Source organism: Homo sapiens, chromosome 2, assembly GCF_000001405.40.
Source record: "Homo sapiens chromosome 2, GRCh38.p14 Primary Assembly".
Classification (NCBI taxonomy): domain Eukaryota; kingdom Metazoa; phylum Chordata; class Mammalia; order Primates; family Hominidae; genus Homo; species Homo sapiens.
The window spans coordinates 102,446,402-102,471,608 of NC_000002.12; the positions used below are offsets into that span (position 1 = coordinate 102,446,402).

Here is a 25,207-nt window from a genome sequence, read left to right on the forward strand (position 1 = left end):
CCCGAGCAGTGTACACTACACCCGTTGTGTCGTCTTTTATCCCTCACTCCCCTCCCACCCTTCTCCCTCAGTCTCTAAAGTCCGTTGTATTATTCTTATGCCTTTGCGTCCTCATAGCTTAGCTCCCATTTATAAGTGAAAACACACAATGTTTTGTTTTTCATTCCTGAGTTACTTCACTTAGAATAATGGTATCCACCATCCTGGCTAACAAGGTGAAGCCCCGTCTCCACTAAAAATACAAAAAAAATTAGCCGGGCGTGGTGGCGGGCGCCTGTAGTCCCAGTTACTTGGGAGGCTGAGGCAGGAGAATGGCGTGAACCCGGGAGGCGGAGCTTGCAGTGAGCTGCGCGCCACTGCACTCCAGCCTGGGCGACATACAGACTCCGTCTCCAAAAAAAAAAAAAAAAAGTATAATGAATAATGGTCTCCAACTCCATCCAGGTTGCTGCACATGCCATTATTTTGTTCCTTTTTATGGCTAAGTAGTATTCCATGGTGTGATTTGAGAGGTTTCCAGATTCACAAAAACTGCTGCTAGTGGCAATGATTTTGATAAAATAATAGAGCTGGAAAAGGTGCTGGGTGGGCCATAGCGCCGGCCTGAACATGGTCTTGGTCCAATCCCGCTGCCTCTATGTCTCTTCATACTGGCCCTGTCTCCACAGTGGTGCTCCTGTACATCCTGCTTGGCACCATCGGGACCCTGGTGGCCGTGCTGGCGGCGAGTGCCCTCCTCTACAGGCACTGGATTGAAATAGTGCTGCTGTACCGGACCTACCAGAGCAAGGATCAGACGCTTGGGGGTAAGTTTACCTCCACATGCAGCCCTCTGACTTTTCCTCTGGGAATTGACTTGGAGCAGGACAACAGAAAATACCATCACTACCCCTTGGCTTTGTTTCCTCAGAGTTACCTTAGAAAAGAACTTCAAATGTCCCCTGCCAGCCAGGGCAGAGCATAAAGGAGGAGCTGAAGAAAGAAATGTCCCCACTGGATAAAGTCATGCCCCTGAGGTTTTGAGGCCTTCCTCCAGGTCTAGTGACCTTACACTGAGGAAGGCTGGAGAAACAATTATTTTTTTCATTCCAGTTGCCAGGAATCTTGTAGGCAATGCTATTGTGAAACATGTTGGACTTAAAAATAATCCCTCTATAACCAACCTAAAGCAATAGGGCAAATGAGTGAATATCTCTGTGCCTTTGTTTCCTCATCTATAAAACAGGATTGTCATAGCACCAATTGCAAAGGATGCTGTGAGGGCTCACTGATGTATTCTTAAGACACATTTAGTATTCATTCATTTATGTATGTATGTATGTATGTATTTATTTATTTATTTATTTTGAGATGGAGTCTTGCTCTGTCTCCCAGGCTGGAGTGCGGTGGCACCATCTCAGCTTACTTCAATCTCCGCCTCCCAGGTTCAAGCAATTCTCCTACCTCAGCCTCCTGAGTAGCTGGGATTACAGGCATGCGCTACCATGTCCAGCTATTGTTTGTGTTTTTAGTAGAGACTGCTGGGTTTCACCATGTTGGCCAGGCTGGTCTCGAACTCCTGACCTCAAGTGATCCGTCCGCCTCGGCCTCCCAAAGTGCTGGGATTACAGCCGTGAGCCACCGTGCCCAGCCACATTAAGTATTTAGAATGGTGCCCAGTACACGGTAAATAGCTCAGCATGTGCCAGACTATGGCTGTTTCTTGAGGACTAGAGTGTATGCCTGCCATGTGTGTTAGCTACTTTAATGGTCACAGCAATCCTACCAGCCAGGTAGAGAGACAGGAAGTCATGTGCCTACAATTGAACTACTGGAAGGCATTAGAGCTTGGGATTTGGGCACAGGTTGTCTGGCTTAAGAGGTTTCATTAGCTGTTACCTCAGTTAGCCTCATCTGTAAAATGAGGCTTTTAAGACGGTGGGAATGCCCCCAAAAGTGAGAAGTCCTGTAAAATGCAAGTGCTATTACTATTAATGAAGTGCCTGTCAATATTTGAGGCAAGATAATCATGTTCATTGATGTTTGCTTCTGTGGAATAGAAGTCTTGCTTCTGTTTTTTTCTAGTCCTGGAAATCTCCAAGGTTAGAAGGTTTGCAGTTTTAGTAAATGACTCTGTTGCTTGGAAAAAGCAGAATCCCCTTTTGCAGGATTTCACGGATAATTATTTACCTTACTGAGAGGCCCCTCCAAATTCCAGTGCGTTCCCAAACTAGGAATTCAGTGAGGAGTTGTCAGATCCCTGGGGGAAGAAAGGGTGAATAAAGACCGGCATGGGAGGCTGGGTGTGGTGGCTCACACCTGTAATCCCAGCACTTTGGGAGGCCAAAGTGGGAGGAATGCTTGAGCTCAGGAGTTCAAGACCAGCCTGGGCAACATGGTGAAACCTGCCTCTACAAGAAATTTTTTAATGTTAGCTGGGCGTGGTGGTACCCACCTGTAGTTCCAGCTACTTAGGAGGCTGAGGTGGGAGAATCACCTGAGCCCCGGAGGTCAAGGCTGCAGTGAGCCATGATTACATCACTGCACTCCAGCCTGGATGGCAGAGCGATACCCTATCTCAAAAAAAAAAAAAAAAAAAAAAAAGTGACCGGGAGCAGTGGCTCACATGTGTAATCCCAGCACTTTGGGAGGTCCAGGTGGGCGGATCACTTGAAGTCTGGATTTGAGATCAGCCTGGCCAACACGGTGCAACCCCATCCTTACTAAAAATACAAAATGTAGCCAGGCTTGGTGGCAGGCACCTGTAATCCCAGCTACTCAGGAGGCTGAGGCAGGAGAATCACTTGAACCTGGGAGGTGGAGGTTGCAGTGAGCCGAGATCATGCCACTGCACTCCAGCCTGGGTGACAGAGCAAGACTCCTTTTCAAAAAAAAGGAAGAAAGAAATGCATCAGTCACATCTTTCTTTAAACTTACTATAGAGAATACATACTAGAAATCCTTAAGAGAAATGTTTTTAAGATTTATTTTAATAACTTTTTTGAATGAAGCAAATTATGTAATCAAGGTCATAAAATGCTATTTACCTTAAGATTCTGGAGCTGGCTTAGAAGAGTCAGTCAATGGGGAAACATTTACTTGTGTCCTTTCTTTTTCTATTTTGCAAAGACAATGTTTTTAGTGATCAGATCTGGAGGCAGAATCCAGTTTTCAAGCACGGGGATGCAGTGCCCTCTGTTGGCCAACCTAACATTTTTTAGCAAAATGACTGCTTTGAAGTTAATGCTAAGTAACCAAAATTTTAGAGATGTAGAATGTTAGAATTCTGGAGGACCTCAGAGATCATCTAATACTCCACTCTCTAATTTTATGACTAAATAAATGTAGTTTCCAGGTTATAGAAAAATTTTAGTTTGCTGGGATTTCACATGATGTGGAAGGAATAGAGGCAACTGTGGTGTGTTACACATTTAAACAGCACAGCACCTACCTGCCAGCCATGCCCCACAAGTCTCATCCTTCCTACATGAGCAATGAGGTGCTTCATAGGTTAGTTTCCCAACCTCAGCTCTTTTATATCCTCCTCTGTTGACTCTGGGAGCTTCCCTTTTGGTACCTGGTACTTCCATCCACCGAGGCATCATTTTAGGTTCACCTTGAACATGGTGTACTACTAAATAGCATCAGCAATCAGGGCTACTGTTTACCGTTTTGTAACAATACTTTGACAGGGATTGTGGAAATTGCTGGAATACAAATCTGATGTATCCCATTCCGAAGCCTGTGAGTTAAGTGTTGGGATTTTCTACTTCTTCCAGTGAGTTCCTTAGTCTCAGTAATCATATGCATTTATGAAGTATGCATATGAAAATATCCTATAACAAGTTATATACATATAGTTTTCCATCTAGAATAGAGGGGAATGGACATTTATCTTGCACCTCCTATGAGCCAGGCACCAAGAAGTTCATATACATTATCTCATGAAACCCTTAAAACAGCCTGCCCAGGAGTTATGATTGTCTTTATTTTACATATGGGGATTCACATATCAGCATATGGGCCATCAACTCTCCGAGCAAGTACTTTTTCTCCTTGGATACGATGTGCTGGGTGTTAGCAGTACTTTGCTTACTGGATATCATCATGTTGGATGGGGCAGACTCCTGCTTGATGTGTGACTAATGAGACAGAAACACTGCAGGTGCAAAGAAGGCTCAGAGAAACTCCTGAGTTCATGTGACTTAATCAAAGAATGCCTCAGCCATTTGACCTAAAATCAGTAAAAATGCAAGACTGCTTCATAAATTAGAATTCGATTTGGGGTGAAAAATCAATACCGCTCAGTGGTATGATTTTGAAATGAATTTTTAAAATCAATTTAGTCAGGATCCCAAATATTATTTCTTATTCATTTACCATATGATTCAAGCATATGTATGTGTACCATAACAGTAAAAAAAAGAGTAAATGACTTATGTTTTTATAAATTTTCCTATTCTTCAGATAAAAAGGATTTTGATGCTTTCGTATCCTATGCAAAATGGAGCTCTTTTCCAAGTGAGGCCACTTCATCTCTGAGTGAAGAACACTTGGCCCTGAGCCTATTTCCTGATGTTTTAGAAAACAAATATGGATATAGCCTGTGTTTGCTTGAAAGAGATGTGGCTCCAGGAGGAGGTAAGTCCAACATGTCAAGAAAAACTGCAGTGCAAAAAGGGCAGTTCAATGCAATCCCCAAGTCTTTTTTGTCATTCTTTGTTTTGGAATATAGATCTGGGAGATTACATGAGGTTAGAACATCTTGGGCAACAACACAGAAACTATATGTTCCAGAGATGTGTTCCATTATCAAACAAATCCATCTGCAGAAGAAGACAATCACATGGGGCCCTAGGCAGTCCTTCTAGGACAAAGATACCTCTCCTGGCTTCGCAGCTGAAGGCTGCGAAGTGAACTACTCGCTCACCCCAATTTAGTGGCCCCTCTGATTTCTGGGACTCTGCCTTCCACAAAGCTCACTCAGCACTGGGTCAAGCAGGCTTCTCAGGCCTGGGCCACGCCCTGGACACCCTGAGAAGTCCAGATCTCAGCCTGTCCTGCTGGCCTCCTCCTCCTCAGATACCCCCACCAAGGAGCCTGGGATGTTCCATGGCTCCCATTATCCCAGCTTACCTAGTTCCAGTCAGCTTTATTCCTAGAGGAATTGCCAATTTGGGGAGACTGGACACAAAGCAGGGAATGTAAAGGTGAGGGTCACTAGACACTGGAGCGTATCTCCAACTGGCAATAGAGCTGATACAGTGTAAGTGGTAGAGTAAACATGTCTCCCTTCCTCCTTATGTAAGAGAATCCATTGCAAGGACCTCTCTGACTCAAGGTTTAACAATATCCATTGCAAATAATCAAATGTTTTATTTCCAGTGTATGCAGAAGACATTGTGAGCATTATTAAGAGAAGCAGAAGAGGAATATTTATCTTGAGCCCCAACTATGTCAATGGACCCAGTATCTTTGAACTACAAGCAGCAGTGAATCTTGCCTTGGATGATCAAACACTGAAACTCATTTTAATTAAGTTCTGTTACTTCCAAGAGCCAGAGTCTCTACCTCATCTCGTGAAAAAAGCTCTCAGGGTTTTGCCCACAGTTACTTGGAGAGGCTTAAAATCAGTTCCTCCCAATTCTAGGTTCTGGGCCAAAATGCGCTACCACATGCCTGTGAAAAACTCTCAGGGATTCACGTGGAACCAGCTCAGAATTACCTCTAGGATTTTTCAGTGGAAAGGACTCAGTAGAACAGAAACCACTGGGAGGAGCTCCCAGCCTAAGGAATGGTGAAATGAGCCCTGGAGCCCCCTCCAGTCCAGTCCCTGGGATAGAGATGTTGCTGGACAGAACTCACAGCTCTGTGTGTGTGTGTTCAGGCTGATAGGAAATTCAAAGAGTCTCCTGCCAGCACCAAGCAAGCTTGATGGACAATGGAGTGGGATTGAGACTGTGGTTTAGAGCCTTTGATTTCCTGGACTGGACTGACGGCGAGTGAATTCTCTAGACCTTGGGTACTTTCAGTACACAACACCCCTAAGATTTCCCAGTGGTCCGAGCAGAATCAGAAAATACAGCTACTTCTGCCTTATGGCTAGGGAACTGTCATGTCTACCATGTATTGTACATATGACTTTATGTATACTTGCAATCAAATAAATATTATTTTATTAGAAATGAGTGATTTTTTTCTTTTTTTTCTTTTTTTGAGACAGAGTCTCATTCTGCCGCCCAGGCTGGAATGCATGTTCTTGGCTCACTGCAACCTCCGCCCCCTGGGTTCAAGCAATTCTCCGGCCTCAGCCTCCCTTCTAACTGGGATTACAGCATGCACTACCATGCCCAGCTAATTTTTGTATTTTTAGTAGAGACGGGGTTTCACCATGTTGACCAGGCTGGTCTCGAACTCCTGACCTCAGGAGATCGGCCCACCTCGGCCTCCCAAAGTGCTGGAATTATAGGCGTGAGCCACCATGGCTGGCCTTAGAAACAAGTGATTGAAACTCTGCCCGAAGAATTTCTGTAAAGAAGACAATTCTTACTCCATGGTCAGCCAACAACTCTGGAGCACAGAAAGTGAGCATAAAAGGTAAAGACTAACGGGACCCAGAATAGACAGGGCTAGGGTTGGTTTCTACTGTGTCCTCATGCGAAGTGCCCACACTGGGTGGATGAACTAGAAGAAGAATCCCTTTTTTTGGGGGCGGGGGGAGATGCAGTCTGTGCCAGGATATGGGCTTGGAAAGAAGAGTAGAGTTAATTTCAGCTCCTCCTTGTGATGTCGGCCAGAGATCTTTGTGTTAGGTATAAAAGTGTAAATCCTTACCCTGGGCCCCTGGAAGTACAGACCAACTGGACCAAAATGATCAGGCCAATGAAGAGACAAGGAATGCACTTGCAGTGACATACAAAGCAGAGAGACACTGGCCAGAGTCAGCAGTGCAGCTAAGAGTCTGGGGAATAAGGATATACACTGGTTAAACAGCAGCAAGAATGGAATGTGAACAGAGCTGTAGCCTGAACCTTCTGCTGAGGCTGGCGATCCTATGGGCTTCCGATCTGGGCGTCTCCCTTTAAGTTCTCCTAAGTAATAAGGTGATGGGCTGCAGGGCCATGAAACTGTTTCTGATAGACGAGGCCAATTTCCTCCTCATAAGTGTGTTTCCTTTACCAGAGTTTAACCTGCAGTTAAAATAGTGTTCCACTCACGTATAAACATCAAGCTCTTATACTCTGTCTTTTCTGAAGGAATAAAATGATTTATCATCTGAGCAATAAATAAAAGCAATGTCTGGACTCATTCACATGCAGTGTGTCACACCCACCAGTCTGGATGTGATCCAAGTTCAGAGTGGCTAAAAGTCATTGTCGTCTTGGGGCCTGCGTGAAACACTCTTCTGCTCTTTATTCACAGAGGCACCCACATCATAAAAACCACTGTGGCTTTGGCACCAAGCAACATCCTTGTTGGAAATTTCAGTGATAAAGTTAACAATGAGTTAAAGGGTATAAATTATTCTTGGAGGAAGTTTCTTGTGGGAAGGATCATTGCAGGGTCTCAGTGAAGAGGAGCCCATATTGTCACTGTGCCATTGTGCTTTGGTGATGGCCAGGATCCCTGGCCTTCCTGCCCGCCACTCTCTGAGATTTAAGACTCAGACTTCTTTTGGCCACTTTGTTCAGTTTATCCTAAGATAGATAATGCTAGAACCAAGCTATTCAGATGTCCAGCGTTTTGACCTTAGCTTCGTGGAAAATCAAATAGAGCTTCAGGTTAGCACATACACAAAAGGAGAAATAGCCAGCTGTAATATTTACAGAATACACTCTTTCCAGGCTGCTAGGTACACTGAACATAACAAGGTAGCATTCGGGACAGGGGGCTATTTATATTTCTTATATGTCAATTAACCACAACAAAGCAGACAACCAAAACAAATTTTCTATGTATAGGAGACTGATTGCAATAGAACAATTGGACTCAGTGGAATATAATTAGAAAAGAGTATTATTTCCCTGTCACATCTTCTGAGGTGTCCATATGTTCTAGTTCCTGGTTGCACCTATTGTCCAAGTATAATTATTATAGTACTCTCTTTCACTCTGAAAAAGTGTCCTACCTTGGATGATGGTCACTCTACCTCTAACACTCATCATAGAGAACTCCTTACTGACCCTTCTATGATAGCCCGAGCAGTTCTCATAGCTTTCCTGGTCCTTTTCGGGTTTTAATACCTACATTTAACATCTATATCATTTCTAGGTTAAAATTCTAGGTAAGATGGAGTGAACAACACCATCCTGTCTCTTCCTCCTAGTGCAGCCATAAAGTCTGGATAAAAATGCATCAAAAATCAATTTGAGTATTCTGAAAAGTAAATAGAAGCAGACGGATTGGGGAAGACAATAATTCAAAGTCTCATAATTTGTCTCCAGTCTCTTCTGACTTAGACTCAGTACAGTCTGAAACCCAGAAGTAGACATCAGTGATAACAGAAAGAGCTTCAGAAGAAGCACTCTAGTTCTGGCTTGAAGACTGAGAAAGAGTTTCCTAGCCCTTCCATATTTTCCCTTTCATTTTCTTTCATTGCCCACTCTCTAAGCAATCCTGTGGTAGCACCAGTGACACCACCAAAAGCAGTGGTATTAGCGGCCCTCGAGAGCCTAAATCTCCAGGAAAGGGAATTGTCCACCTTGATATGAGGACCTGTAGTCCCAGTAGGGTGTGGCAAGCCTCTGTTGATGTTTTATTCTTTCTTTATCCTCTTACCTTTTCGTGAGGTGGATGTAAGCAGTTGTAGGAAGTGCACTGCAGAGTGAAGTAAATAAAGCCTCAATGCTTTGGCCAGAGAACTGCACAGAGGAGGAGAGTACAGGCAGAAAGGAGCTCAGGAAACTGAATCCATAAAATTGTTTATAAACCTTTGGACCCATTCCCAAGCTGTGCATGTATGAATCTGATCCTAAAGGGAATACCATAAACTTTCAGAACTGAGCTATAGGAGAGATCACTTTCTGAGTTCCAGACTGGCTGCTGAAAGGTATAAATATGAAGTAGGTCCAAATAGAACTGAAAGGCAGTGAAACAAAACTGAAATTGAAACCACAGGCTTAGTTTGGAGCCTTAATCCCACTGGGCTAATTGCCTGTTGAAGCAGAAATAACATAATACATAAGATTTCAACAAGATCTAGAATCGTATAACATAATGTTTAAAACATCCAGGCTGTAATTTGTTAAAAGCAAAATTATGACATTTTCTGGTAGGATTTTCAATATAGGTAGATGTAATGCAACATAAAGGAGGGCAGGTAAGGGGCCCAGATGACGGTAAGGTGTCTATTTCCCACTTGAAGTGGCACACTATTGATTCTAAGTAGAATGTGAAAGTTGTGTGTAATATTTTATTCCATTGAGTAACCGTTAACACAAACAAACAAAACATCAAATATTGTTAAAACATGATGGACATAGAAATACTATTCAGCCTGTAAAAAGAAGGAATTTCTGCAATAGGTCTCAGTATGGACAGACCTTGAGGAAGAATGCTATGTGAAATAAGCTGGACACGGAAAGACAAATACTGCATAATTTCATTTATGTGAGGTATCTAAAATAGTCAAATGCATAAAATCAAAGACTAAAATGGTGGCTGGAGGCTGGGGAAAATAGGAAGTGATTGATAAATAGGCATAAAATATCAGATACGTGAAATGGAAAAGCACATAATGTACAACATTATGCCTATAGTCAACAATAATGTATTGTACACATAAAATTGATTAAGAGGATAGGCCCCATGTTGAGCATTCTTTCCACAATAAAAATGTTTTGATGGAATAATCAAAATGTTTAAATAATCCAAAAGAAGGGAAGAGAAAAACAGAGGAACAAAAACTAAGATAAATAGAAATCAAATAACAAAATGGTAGACATAAATCCAAACATCATAATAATTACATTAAGTGTAAAATGTCTAAACACAATAATTAAAAGACAGAGATTATTAGAATAAACTTTTATAAATTTATTTAAAACCATCTTCAGTAAGCCTTTTATCAGATTTGACTTGATCAGAACCAGATTCAGCTAATTTGCTGTCTTTAAAATTAGTGAAATCTTGATCATTGTCCTGCATTCTCAGCACATTGTCTTTTGCAAGCTTATCTGAACAAGAAATTTAACCCCCTTACAATAAAAATGCTTTGAGTATAATGGTGTAGGTAGGTTAATAAGATATAATTACATGAACATTAATTAAAAGAAAGCTAGAGTGCCTATATATATATTATTTATTTATATATTCTTTAGAAATGAATAATATATTAATAAATATATTATATATTTTATATGATGAACATGTTAATGTAAATTACTATTTATTATATATTATACATAGTATATGAAAAATATATTTATATATTACTTGTTTCTAAATAAATAAATATATATTTATGCACATTTTTTGGGGACAGGGTCTCCCTCCGTCACCCAGGCTGGAGCACAGTGGTGTATCATGGCTCACTGCAGCCTCGACCTCACAGGCTCAAGCAATCTTTTCATCTCAGCCCCCCAAGTAACTGGGACCACAGATGTGTGCCACCACATCCGGCTAATTTTTTTCACATTTTTTTTGTAGAGATGGAGTTTCACCATCTTGCCCAGGCTGGTCTTGAACTCCTGAGCTCAAGTGATCTGCCTGCCTTTGCCTCCCTAAGTGCTGGGATTGTAGGTATGAGCCACCATGTCAGGCCCTGGAGTACCTATAATACATCAGCTAAAGGAGACTTTGGAGCAAAGAAAATTACCAGAGAGAAAAACAGATATTACATTATGATAAAAGGACAAATTTACCAACAGGACATAACAGTCTTAATTAAATGTGTATGCACCTAACAGCAGTGCTTCAAAATACATGAAGCAAAACTGACAGAACTAAAAGAAGAAATAGACAAATCCACGACTGTAGTTGGAGACTTGAATATTATTCTCAAGTATTGATAAAATGGTAAACAGAAATTTATCAAGAATATAGGCTGCGCGTGGTGGCTCATGCCTGTAATCCCAGCACTTTGGGAGGCCGAGTTGGGCGGATCACGAGGTCAGGAGCTTGAGATCAGCCTGCCCAGCACGGTGAAACCCCGTCTCTACTAAAAATACAAAAAATTAGCCAGGCATGGTGGCGCGTGCTTGTAATCCCAGCTACTCAGGAGGCTGAGGCAGGAGAATCTCCTGAACCCAGGAAGCAGAGGTTGCAGTGAGCCGGATCGTGCCATTGCACTCCAGCCTGGGTGACAGAGTGAGACTCCGTCTCAGAAAAAAAAAGAAGAAGAATATAGAACAACACTACTTAATTGTTGTTTTCTAGATCTACTTGACATTTATAGAATGTTCCACCCAATGATTGCAGAATACACAATCTTTTGATGTACACACCGACCATGTGCTAAGATATACCGTATCCTAGATTGTAAAACAAACAATAACAAGAATTTAGAAATTGAAATTGTACAAAGTTATATTCTGTATTTATAATGGATTTATAATGAATTCAGACTAGAGATTATTAAGAGAAAGATGGTGGGAAAAATCTCAAAACATTTGGAAATTAAGTGACACATTTCTCAATAATCTATGGATAAAAATGGAAGTCTCAAAGCAAATGAAATGATATTTTCAAATGAATGGAAATGAAAATGCAACATATCAAAATTTGCAAGATGAGACTAAAGCCATGCTTAAGGGCAAGTATATAATATTAAATACTTATGTTAAAAGAGGAAAATATATAAATTAATAATCTAAACTTCCACCTTAGGAAGCCAAAAAAAAATAATAAATTTGAGAGCAGAAACCACTGCCATTGAATAACATAAAACAATAAAGAAAATCAATAGTACAGGAACCTGGTTCTTCGAGAGCATCAATAAAACTGAAAAACTCCTAGCAAGACTGACCAAAAAAAAAAGAAGAAGAAGGAAGACACAAATTACCAGTATTAGTAGTGAGATAAGAGATATCAATACAGATCCTGCACATCTTAAACGAATAAGGAAATGTTATGGATACTGTATAAATACATATTTGACAACCTAAATGAAATGGATAAATGCTCAAAAACCACAAGCTAAAAATACTTATCCAATATTAAATAAATAACCTAATTGGTCATAACTGTTAAAAAAATTAATTCCTATTATTAAATTTCCAAAAATAAAATCTTCAGACCCCGATGGTTTCACTGCCTAATTCTATCAAACATTTAAAGGAAAAAAAAAATGTGAATCCTACACAATTTTTTTCAGAAAACAGAAGAAGGAACATTTCCTAAGTTATGCAAATTATTATGAGTCCAGAATTTTTCTAATACCAAAACCAAACAAAAAAAATTATAAGACAACTATAGACCAACATTCTTCATGAACATTGACACAAAAATACTCAAGAAAATATTAGCAAATTGAACCTAGTAATATATAAATAGAATAATGCATCACAACCAAGTGGAGCTTATCATGGGTATTCAGGGCAGGCTTCATATTTTAAAATATTTCAGTGTAATTCTTTATATTAACAGTGTAAGGAAGAACAAAGACATGATCATATGAACCAATTCCAAAAATATATTTGACAAAATTCACCATCGTCTCGTCATAAAACCTCTCAGCAAACTAGGCATAGAAGGGAATTTTCTCATCATGATAAGGGGCTCTAAAAACAACAACAAACAAACTATAGATGAAAAAATCATACTAAATGGTGAAAGACTGTATGTATGTTTTCTCTATAAGATGGGAAGCAAGGCAAGGATACTTACTCGCAGAATACTATACAACCTTGTATGAAAGTTTTCACCAGTGCAATAAGACGAGGAAAAGAAATAACATGCATGCAGTTTGGAAAGAAAGAAACAATCTCTCCTTTTTTTCTAAAAAGTAATTTTCTATGTAGAATATCCAAGAAAGCTATAAAAATATTCCTAGAACTGATAAGTGAGTTTAGCAAGTTCTTAGGATACATGATTAACAACGTAAAAATCAAATGTATTTCTATCTCTATTAAGAAACAATTGAAAACCAGATGTTACAGACATTACCATTTATAATAGGTCAAAAAAGAAAGAGGAAAGGAAGGAAAGAAGGAAGGATAGGGAAGGAAAGGAAGAAAGAGAAAGAAATAAGAGAGAAAGAAAGAGAGAAAAAAGAAAGAAAGGAAGGAAAGAGAAAGGAAGAAAGAGAAAGAAAGAAAGAAAGAAAGAGAGAAAGAAAGAAAGAAAGAAAGAAAGAAAGAAAGAAAGAAAGAGAGGGAGGGAGGGAGGGAGGGAGATTCATGTATAAATGAACAGAATGTGTGGATGTTCCATAAGCTAAAAACTATGAAATACTTATGAGCAAAATTAAAGAACAATTAAATAAAGAGAGAAGCATAGCATGTTTGGTGATACAAAGATTCAACATATTGTCAAATCAACAATCCCCTTTACATTGATTAAGAGGTTTAACGCAATTCCAACTGATATTCCAGCAGAATTTTTTGTAGATTATAGGCAAACTAATTCTAAAATATATGTGGGAAAGCGAATAAACTAGAAAAACCAAAGCTATTTGGAAAAGAAAATAAAGTTGGAGGAGTCATGCTAGACGATTTTATGAATCAATAAAAAGTTACAGCAACCAAAATGGTGTGATATTAACAAAGCAATAGATCAATGGAACTGAGTAGAAAGTCTAGAAATACATCCACACAAATATGGCCTATTGATTTTGACAAATTTTCAAAGGCAATTCAATAAAGAATAGAGTTTTAAACAAATGGTTTTGCATCAATTGGACATACATATGCAATAAGATGAAGCTCACAGCTTATACAAAATTAACTTGTAATAGGCCATAGATCTCAATGTAAAGCCTAAATCTATAAAACTGTTAGAAGAAAACATGACCTAGGATTAGAAAAAGAGTTCTTAGATGTAACACCAAAAGCATGATCCGTAGAGAAAAAAAAAGTTGGAGTTTAACAAAGTTAAAACCACTTTTTCCGAGAAAACCACTGCTAAAAGGATGAAAAAAAAAAACAAGCTTTAAATTGACAAAAATTATTTCAAAATCACAAGTCCAATAAAGGACTTGTGCTGAGAGTTTATAAAGATTTCTCTAAACTCAATAATAACAAGTAGCTACCAATTAAAAAAGGAGCAAAAACTTGAATAGACATTTTGCTAAAGAGGACAGACAGATGGCAAACAGGCACATAAAAAGATGTGCAACAGCACCATCCACTGGGAAAATGGAAATTAAAGCCACAAGGAGAAAACACACACACACACACACCATGGGGCACATAGAGAAAAAGAAAAGAAACCTAACAACACGAAATGGTGATGATGTAGAGAAACTAGAACTCTCATATACTACTGGTGAGAGTGCAAAATAGTGCAGCCACCCTACAAAACAATTTAACAAGTCCTTATAATGTGACTTCCTTACTAGATGCCCAAAACATCCTACTTGTAGATATTTACCCCAGAGAAATAAAAACTTACGTTCACACAAAATCCAATACACAAATGTTTATTGTGGCTCTACTCATAATAACTAATACCTAGAAAAACTCAAGGACTTTCAACCAGTATGTGTCAGCTAAAGTCCAATCAAAAGACAGAAATCATGTAGTAATTTAAAAAGGGATATTATGATATAAATGATTATTTGGCTGTGATGAGAGACTGATTATAAGGACATGAATAGAACTCCAAAGAGTATCTCAGGGCTGAGAGATAGTAGAAAGACAAAGTTGCAAGTGGTCCCCTCCCCAAGACTGGGGTTCAGACATCACTAGAAGCAGTGTGGTGTAGCCCACTGAATGGCAAGGAAGGTCTCTTACGTGCCTGGGTCAGAGCTAGTTCACAGTTGCTGGGAAAGCTGGAAGCAAACCTGTCAGGTGCAGTCAAGCCATGGCTGGTGGGCAGACATGCAGCATGGCCAGGCCATGACTGCTTTAGGATGCAGGCGAGCTGTAGTTGATATGCGGGTACACAGGGCATTCAGAATGCCACTGTGGGCATGCGGCCTGGAGTGCACAGTGTCCACATCAGGAAGATATTGGGAGGTGGTCACCTGGCCTAAGCTAGTACTGCGAGGTCACTGAGCAACGGCTTCCTCTGGATATAGCTAGTGCAGAGCACCAACAGATGTCTACACACACACACTGCTGCCTGATGGTGCAGCACAAGTGAGAAAAAAAAACAGAACACAGCAGCTGGAACCAGACGGACCCTCCTGTAATGCTTGTCCAACTCCCTGTACCAAAGAGGTGAATACTATGCTCACTGTATAGGATGAATGCTTCAAAAATTCAATCCATTACACACAGCAGGTACTGAATGGTGAATTCAGAGCTGTGAGGTAATACATTGATAACTGGTGATAAATTGATAACTGGTATAGGGTGAATTAATTAACAAATAGTTGTACAAGCAAACCATGAAATACTTCTCAGCAATACAAAGGAATTCACCACTGAGACATGCACCAGCTTGGATAAATCTCAATGCAGTATGCTGGGTAGAAAAAGCTTATCTCTAAAGGTTACATGATTCCATTTCTATGACATTTTCAAAAAGTCAAAACAGTGACAGAACAGATTATTGGTTTCCAGGAGTTAGGGATGGAGGAGGGCGGGTCTCAAAGAAAGAGCATGTAACCTGATTGTCTTGGTGATTATGTGAATTTACATCCGTATTTAAATGCACACAACTGTAAATCAAACAAGCTAATTTTATTGTATGTTAATTTAAAAATAAAAATGTAAACCCATTCTCCCTAACCCTACCAAGATGTCCACTGCTCCTGGTGCACCTGATGAAGGTGATACCTTCTCTGTCTCCACCTCGTCTTCTGCCCCATGCAGTAAAGCCCCTAATGGTCCATTCTTCCAATGTGACTCTAACCTGGTTATTCTGCACAGCATTCACCTGGTTCATGGGGAATTGGATGCCCACTTTCCCCACCATTGCTCCCAGGCTTCCCTCTCTTTCCTTGCTCTCCAACTGCATTTGTTCCAGCTGATCTGCCATTGTCAATGATATCCTGCCGAGGATCAGGCACCAGTCTGATTTTTGAAACCCAAAGAAAAGATTATAAACTCTTTCAAGACTTTTTTTACTTGTCTACATTCCAATTACATAGATTCTGTGGGGATGAGAACTCAGCTCTGTACAGCTTTAGCAGGGGTGAAATGTCAGTCTTCCCCGCTGGCAGAAAGCCTCGCATCTATGAGTTGTGACCTTGGAGCTCTCTAATTGGGGGGCTGTAGGGTCTTTTACATAGGTCTCTGGGGATGCGAGTGCTGGACCAGTTTGGCTACCCTTAGCAAGTCCTGCAGGGGTTTTGTCTAACATCTCTGTTTGAACTGAGAGTGCACTTGCCACTCTAAGTCCTTAAATTTGTTACCTTTGCCAAAATTCAAGGTCAACTGAAAAACGCCCCATTTAACCTCTGATTGTACCACCCCCAGGTAAGTTTCTGTGCCCTTTAAAAAGCCAACTATATACAGGAAAGTCTCTGACCAGAACTTGGCACAGTTAAATATCACTTACTGGCTTTTCTTACCTTTGTATTCTGGTTCATTTCACGTCTAGGAGTTTTTCATAAGCCCCACATCTGTAACTGGATAATTGAACAGGCTGAATTTACTAAGATATCTGCAGAAAATGGCGTTGCTCTTCTCCCACCATTGCCTCACTACATTTTTTAAGGTCGCATTTGCTTCAACTGATCAGATCTCATAAGAAGCTATTTACAAATCAACCACTCAGTTACGGATGGATGATCATGTACGCAATTGTACTTTAACTAGAGCTAACTGCAGCGATGTGACAGAGAAAATGTTACGTGTTCACCAAAATCATTTTGTTTTTCTGAACACACAGCCACTTTTCCCAGCCTTCTTTGTAGTTGGTTTGGGACACGTGACTAATATTTTCTAGAAGTAGAGTGGATGTGATAGGGTGATTTCTAGACTGAGGCAATGCAGATATAACTTTTGCACACTCTGTCTTGCCCATTGTGACCTTGGAGGCTACATGCTTGAGCTGGCATGCCCACATGATAAAGGTGTTCCTTATCCACATTGAAACTATAATGTGGGTACAAAGTAAACTACCTATGTTCAGCCACTGAAGTTTCTAGATGATTTATTATTGTTGCGGAGTTTAAAGTGTCCTAACTGACAAAAAAAGTTGAGTCTTTTTTGTTCTCTTTCTTAACGTCTCAGAGTGTTCTGAGGGTTTTCTCATCTGAAACTGTCATGGTTTTCAGAGTTAAGAAATTCACACTGAAACAGTTCTCTTTTGGTGGACAGCATCCTGATTTCCCTCTATGTTGTTCTGTCTCATTTCCCCGCATAATTCCTACTTCTTGCCTTTTGATTCTGCACTATGTGCCTGTGACAAGGCAGTTCAGGCAATCATTGCTCAACTGAACTGAGCTCTTTGTGTACCACCACACAAGTGAAGATCCTAATGAAGAATCCTTCGCACCCCACTCCTAGACTTGCACAACAGGTATTGACAACTTATTCCAGTAGGCGCTCTTACCAACAGTTTTTTTTCTTTCTTTCTTTCTTTTTTTTTTTTTTGAGACAGAGTCTCACTCCGTCGCCCAGGCTGAAGTGCAGTGGTGCGATCTCGGCTCGCTGCAACCCTCTGCCTCTCGGGTTCAAGTGATTCTCCTGCCTCAGCCTCTGGAGTAGCTGGGATTACAGATGCGTACCACCATGCCCAGTTAATTTTTGTATTTTTAGTAGAGACGGCGTTTCACCATGTTGGTCAGGCTGGTCTCGAACTCCTGACCTCATGATCCACCCGCCTCAGCTCCCAAAGGGCTGGGATTACAGGTGTGAGCCACTGCGGCAGGCCACCTTCAACGCTTTTCCAAGTCTTTCTGATTTTCTCTCTTAAAATTAACTAAATGTCTCTTCCCTTTTGCCAGGTAGGTACAATATAGACATTTCTCAAAGGGAACAGAATACACTGCAGTCCCATCATTTAGCATATTTCTCAGTAAAATGGGATTCACTGTGAGTGTGCAAGTGTGGGTACCTTATGGCAAGTGGGTTTAATTGGTATGATCAATTACAATCACATGTACCCATCCAACATCACTGGTCCTCATCCAACAACATACACAGACACTAAACTCAGTAGAATAGGGCTGGCTGCTGTGGGAGGAGCACATGCAGTATAGCTTGCAAAGATGTTCTTGGTCATTTGATCTCCTACAGATCCATCACTTTCTCCATGCTGTGAGATTCCTATCAAAGGTGCCAAAATAGCCTCATCCTGGGTACCCTACCAGTCTTGATCCTCAGGGCTTCTATCACTATTTCACATAAAATTGTGAACAGTCTGTGACTTTTGTATGAGGGGCTTACAAACCCTGGGTGCTCTTGGTTCTTGAACAAAACTGAGCACTGGTTAGGCCACACCCTTGAGTCTGGAGGAGGCAGAACCAATGTCTGGGCCCCTAAATTTTGCCCCTGCCCCTGCTGTCCTATGCCTCAGAAGCCCATCTTTGTTTCTCACACAGAAAACATCCTGATTCTGATTAGAAACCCTCTTACCTGAGTAGTTCCAGTAATGACTTTGGACCAAGAACCATGTGCACAAATTCATTTGCCTACAAAATGGCATAATCCCACCCATGCTGGTTCAATTATCAAAACATGACCTCACTGTAAAAGACTTTTTTTTTTTTTAAGACAAAGTCTCACTCTGTTGTCCAGGTTGGAGTGCAGCAGCTCAACCATGGCTCACTGTAGCCCCAACCTCCTGGGCTCAAGCAATTCCCCCAATCCCCTCTCAGAGGAGCTGGGACTAGCTGGGACTACAGGTATATACCACCATGCCCTGCTTTTTAAAATTATTATTATTAATTTTTGTAGAGATGAAATCTTCCTATGTTACTAGCACTGGTATCAAACTCCTGGGCTTGAGGGATCCTCTCACTTTGGCCTCCCAAAGTGCTTAGATTACAGGCATGAGCCACCACTCCCACCTGACCCAAGAGGCTTTCAGCTTCCTTTACATCTGAGCACTGGGCAAATACCCCATGGATAGGTCCTGCCTACTGGTTGACAAGAGCCTATTACCCACCCCCTGCTTCTAGCCTCATAAATTTCTGGAACCACACATGTGTTTCCCAGGCCTTCTTTGCCCACTGTGCGCTAATTGTTTCTTATCAATGTTAGAATTTGTTTGTTTTTGTTTTTATTTTTTTTGTTCAGGAGCATGCTTTCATCTATGTGTCATGAAGGTGATGGAGAAGTGAAGTATTCAAGCAAAGGGAAGGATGTCTTATCAGTTATGGAAGCTCAGACTGGCAGGGAAGTATCTGGGGACAGCGTGGTATTGCTAGCCCATGTTACCGAGGTGGAGATATTTATCTTCGCCTCAACTTAAAGCATTGGGGGAAACTAAATGTGGAGGTTTAGAATCTTGCTCTCTCCTTCTGAGGCACCCTTGGCAGATTGGTTAGGTATAAAAATGCTTCCTGGCCTCTGCTTCAGTGGCCACTCAGCTGGTAGCTACAGGATCTGTTCTGCAGCAGAGCATTCTGGGATAAGCAGTTCATTTCAATGATTTAATACAGATGGATCTTTGGAGAGTCTCTCTAGTGCTTTAACAAAAACCCTCCCTTTGCTAAAGGCTGATAATCATAAGTACTATATTGTTAGGGGACATAAACTCTGTCTTGTAACAAAGGACAGATTTCAGAAGTAAAAAGCTAGCTATGGAAGTGTCCTGTACCAGGGATACTGGCATACTTTTCTGTTTTAATAGAGTACTGAAGAAAACTCAGGTTCTGCCAATCGAGACAACAAAGAGAACAAATTCTTTTACAGGTCACAACTAGTTTCATCACAGGAAGCCAGAGCCAGGCAGTGGAAAGCTCTCCTAAAGTTTTCTTCTATGGACTGAATTGTGTCCCCCTAAAATGCACATTTGAAGCCCTACCCCCTAACCTCCAGTGTGTCTGATTTTGGTGATAGGGTCTTTAGGAGGTAAAGTTAATGAGGTAACAGGGGTAGTACCCTGGACCCATATGATTATTGTCCTTGCAGGAAGAAACACCAGAGATTCTTTCTTTCTCACACTAGCTTGCACAGAAAAAAGGCCACATGAGGACTTAGCAAGAAGGCAACCATCTACAAGTCAGGAAGAGAGGCCTCACCAGAAACCTAATCAGCTACCACCTTGATCTTGGACTTCCCACCTCCAGAATCATGAGAAAATAAGTTTTTGTTCATGAGAAAATAAGTTTTTGTTGTTTAAGCCACCCAGTCTGTGATAACTTGTTATGACAGCCTGAGAAAATTAATACAGTTCCCAAGCTTACCTGGGTATGTGATGCTGGAGATGATATGAAGCAGGCAGAAGCCTTGAAGGAGGAATAGATTTACCTGCACTGAATTATAGAAAATGGGAGGTGGCACTGGTCACTGGTATATGAGTTGGTTCTTTGAAGACTAATTGTGAATAAAGTTCAGCTGGCTTCCTCCACACTCATGCACGTACTCGAAGCCTGAGTAAAGGAGAAAACTGCAGTCTCCTCTGGTCCACGGTATTGCCCACATCTCATTGGCTTATGTTTGCAATGTCCATTTATCTAAACTGCCTGAATATCTATCAGCAATCCTTCTGCTAACAAAAGCAGCCTCTTCCCAATGTCAGAACACGTTATCCACCTACCTTAATGAGAATCAGTGTTCCTCGAAATCCAGTGTCATGGTCCCCCCTAAGGGAATAGGAATTTAGTTGAGGAAAGAAAGAAAAGAGGGAAAACAGACCTACTAGGCGTTCCTAATGTAGGTGTTGTTGGTGATGGGTTATGGGTTGAGTGGGGTGGAAGTGGGAGGGGATCAGCCCTTGGAACAAAGAGGAAAGATTAGGGAAGATACAATTGCTAGCTCAGCCATTTTAGACTGGGTTCAACTAGCCCTGTGACTTATTGTCTAAACAGTGGTGACTGGTGACAATGTGGGTAAATAGAGAAAAATGACACGTTTCATTTTTAACCACCTGTCTGTCTTATTTCCACCATCCAATAAATTTAGGATGTTTTGTGGACAAGTAACTTATTAGGAAGTATTATAGGATACTGAAGGATATTAGACTTCTACCTATGTGGAGTTTATAATCACTTTGAAATAAAATGAATCTAATACTAATCTGGTATCAATTCTGTATTAAGCATTTTTCTTTCTGTTATTTGTCATGTCACCTAATCCTCAAACATCTTTAGAATAGGCATCATCATCATCATCACCATCATCATCGTGGATAAAGTAACTGAGACTGAAAGAGGTTTAAGACTTGCCCAAGTTCACATAGCTTCAAATTTTTCCCCCTTGCAAAGTTTGTATTCCCTTAGGGAAGCTATCACAGTAGAACTGTAAGAATCTGACATTAACTCTGGTGTGAAGATCTGTCTTATTTCAAAGCTTACATTCATGCCCACCCCATCCACCCAGACTACACTGTGGTATTTACCCTCTCCTTCCATATAGGGGGGGTCTCCTGGACTTGATTTTGCCTTTACCCATCCCCTCTGTTTCACTCTGAGCAGTGGAAGTTTGACTTTGGGGAGCAGAGACAGAGCTCAGCTTTCTGTCCTGAAAGCAGGGTCATAGCTTTTGACTTCTCTCCAGCTTAAGATGTAGGCTTTCAATTTAGGGGTATGATATACCAGAACTTGATCCAGGCCATCCAGTTTAATTGCTAGCTGTGGTCTTGGAAGGCAAATCATCTTTCTGGACAGCATTGACCAATTCTCTATCACTACTCTTTTTCATTCTTCTTCCTAAAAAAGAATATAAATTTGAGCCCTGACAAAGTATCAAGAATTCAGGGGCAAGCAACAGATACTTTAGTCTCAGAGTGCTACACAAATACTTTCTGGTAAAGTCAACAATGAGCACACGTTATGGGAAGGAAGAAGAGGTGTGCTGATTATTTTGTTGAAAACTATTCCTGGAGAGAGGTGACTTTCTAATTCATCATGTGTAAAATATGGTGTCAGTTCTGCCTTTTTTTTTTTTTTTTCCTTTGGAGCTTCTCTAAAACAGAAGTTGCCTCTAGAAAACTGAGGGTAAAAAGAGAAGAATGTTCCCTAAGCTCCTCTTCTGGCTATGCACAGCTGAAACCCTGGGGGATGGATGGGAGATTCTCTTGCCATGTGTACCACCCTCAATTAGTCCCATGAGGGAAGACAGGATATAGCAATCTAAATTATAAGGCACCCACTGGGGAGAGGATGTCTGGCCATTCCTTTCCTGCCACTGGGCTCTATGTGTGAGCGGGTTTCTATGAACAGATGACAAGAACCACAGGGATTCTTGGGACTGGCACCAAAAAGGGGTCAGGAAGGCAGGTCAGAGAAGGTCAAGTTTCTACAACCAATATAGTTATCTGAATAATTAGATCAAAACTGTCAGGTATCCAATAGCTTGCTGCGGACCTAAAATTCCAGGATGATTCTTTTAACTCTCTGCTTTGCAAATGAAAACTGTTTATATTTTCCCTTCACCATCACAAGTATAAACAGGAAAGCGCACAGCACCCTGCGATACTCTGGTGCACCTGTGAATGGATCTTTTCTGAGAAATTAAGTTAACTGATAATTATTATTTGGATCATATTTCCATTTATTTAGATCTTCTTTAAACAATTTTTTTTAGAATACAAGTGTGACACTTTTTTGATAAACTTATTCCTAAGAATTGCATTTTTTGATGCTATTATAAATGGCATTATTTTCTTAATTCCATTTTGTTTTATTCATTGTCACTATAAAACACAATTTGTTTTTGCATATTGATCTCATATCCTACAAGCTTGTTAAACTCATTTATTATATCTAATAGTTTTTTAGTCAATTATTCAGGATATTCTGTTTAAATATTTTAGAGTAATCTATTTAAAAGATCATGCAAGTGGAAATAGTTTGACTTTTTTTCCTTCCAATCTGAATGCCTTTTGTTTCTTTTCATTGTCTAAATGCCCTGACTAAAAGCAGCTCTAGTAGAATATTGAATGGAAGTGGCAAGAGTGTATCTCTTTGTCTTGTTCCTGTTCTTTCAGGGAAATGTATTTAGTCTTTTCCCTTTAAGTATGATGTTGGCTGTGTATTATCATGTTGAAGAAGTTTCCTTCCATTCCTGACCTGTAGAGTGTTTTTAAAATAAAAGGTTGTTGATTTTGTCAAATGCTTTTCTCAGTCTGTTGAAATGGTCATGTGGTTTTGCCTTAATTCTATTGACATGTATGTTATATGAAATAATTTTTAAATATTAAACCAACCTTGCCTTCCTGAGATAAATCCCACTTTGTATAAATAAGTTTGAATTGTTACATCTTCTTGATAGATTGACACTTTTCTTTTTCTTAAATGTCCCTCTTTATCTCTAGTAACATTTGTTATTTTAAAGCATATTTCGTCAGTGTAAAGCCACTCAAGTTCTCTTAGCATAGTGTTTGTGTAATATATCTTTTCTCATTTTTTTTTTTTTTACTTTCAACCTACTGGTATCTTTGAAACTAAAATGTGACTTCTGTAGACAGTATGTAGTCCATAATTTTTTTCTGCCTAAAAACTGGATATTTTAGATGATTTCTTGTAGCAATTCTTGATGCTGCTTTCTCCCCCTCCCCCAACTCCAGGGCTTGTTGTTGCTTAATTGTTTGCTGTTTGTTTAGTGACTTGGCTGGACTATATCAGCAAAGTCTATTTCCCTGTGCAGCTTTTTATACTGATCCTCAGCCAGTGAAGCCTGGGGCATGGTTATAATACCCCTAAGCCCTTTCTCCCTTCCCCCAGAATAACAATGGTTTTAGCAGGCTTCTCTGACTTTCTTTCACTGATATATTAAGCTTCTAGCTGGTCTGTTGTATCTATTGACATCACACTCAACTGTTAGCCTCCAGTAACTGCTGGCTGAAATGGCCTATTGTTTTCAACAATGCCTTGGGTTATAAATTACTCCACAGTCCGATCCAATTAAAGTCAGGCTCCTTTGCAGGGTAATCTTTGAGACCAGTCTCTGAGACATGTTATAGCCTCAGGAGAGCTCTTTTCAGCCATCTCTTTTTCTGGTTCTTCTGTTAAACTTCTAGTTGGTCTACTCTTTAACTTATTGCAATCATGGAGCTACTAGCTTTTCTTCCTTGCTCACAACCTAAATCTTCATTGTTTTTGACAGTGCCCTTAGGCTTGAACATCTCTATATTTTGTTCCAAATAAAGTTAGCATACTTAGAGTTAGTTATAGAGTTCTCTGTTCTATAGCCTGTCTCCTCTCCTTGGCAGAAACTCTGTTCCACTACTCTGGAGATGGGGATAGAGATAGTAACCTACTTCTCTTGGAGTGATACCCCTGGTGTGTGAGTGGGATGCTGGACTGGGGTAGTAGCCACTGGTCATCTTGGTTTATTTCCAGTGTTGTGAAAACTCAGTCTTATGAGTAAGTTGAGAGTTATCGGGGTCCAGTATTCCTAATTTGCTGTTTCTGGGGTAGATTCAGTTACATTTGCCTGCAATAGAGTCTGTTCAACATATTGCTAGGATTGGGGTAGGGCAGAGTTTGGTTACGTATGCTGACAACCTGACTTTTCTGGGTAGAAACTGTAGTCATAAACTGGGATCTGGGATTAGAGGCAGCCCCATCCTCGTGGCTACATTCATCCAGAATAGAGTTTTTCTCACATTGAGCTGAGGGGTGGGTAGAGAAAACAGGCCGTGCCTTCAGGTCTTACCAATATTTAGAAGATTTTTTTCAATTTCTGTCTGCTCTTAGGACAATTTCCAGAGACTGGATGGTTGTTTTTGATTTTTAATGATCTCACCAGTTATAGTTGTTTCACTAGGAAATCTATGGTGCTTCTTATGCTGTCATTCTAGAAGAGCTTCTCCTTTCTTCCCCCTTTCCCCTCACTTTTGCTGCCCTTAGTTTGCACTTCTCATGGAAGCTTTGTCTCACATACACTTTCTGGGGACCTTATACTAAGAAATCATTTTAGAAAGAATGTTCTGACATCTGTAAGAAAGTACTGCATGAGTGGAAGTGATGCCGATGGTTGATGAAGTGGGCTGCTACATCTTAACCTGGACCACAAGTTAGTAGACTGTTGCAGAGCTCAAGTTGTTCTCTTACCATCCTCCCAAG

The 25,207-nt window shown here is 40.5% G+C and overlaps 1 protein-coding gene across 11 annotated transcripts in view; it reads left to right on the forward strand.

The window, feature by feature from the left end:
* IL18RAP (interleukin 18 receptor accessory protein) overlaps positions 1-6,164 on the forward strand; it is a 33,945-nt gene extending 27,781 nt beyond the window's left edge. For all 11 annotated transcript variants that reach the window (XM_024453197.2, XM_047446162.1, XM_024453199.2 and 8 more), the window contains 3 exons: positions 669-806; positions 4,447-4,620; positions 5,365-6,164. In XM_024453197.2, coding sequence (XP_024308965.1) covers positions 669-806; positions 4,447-4,620; positions 5,365-5,780 — 728 coding nt within the window. In that variant the 3' untranslated portion in view covers positions 5,781-6,164. The remainder of the gene's footprint in view (positions 1-668; positions 807-4,446; positions 4,621-5,364) is intronic.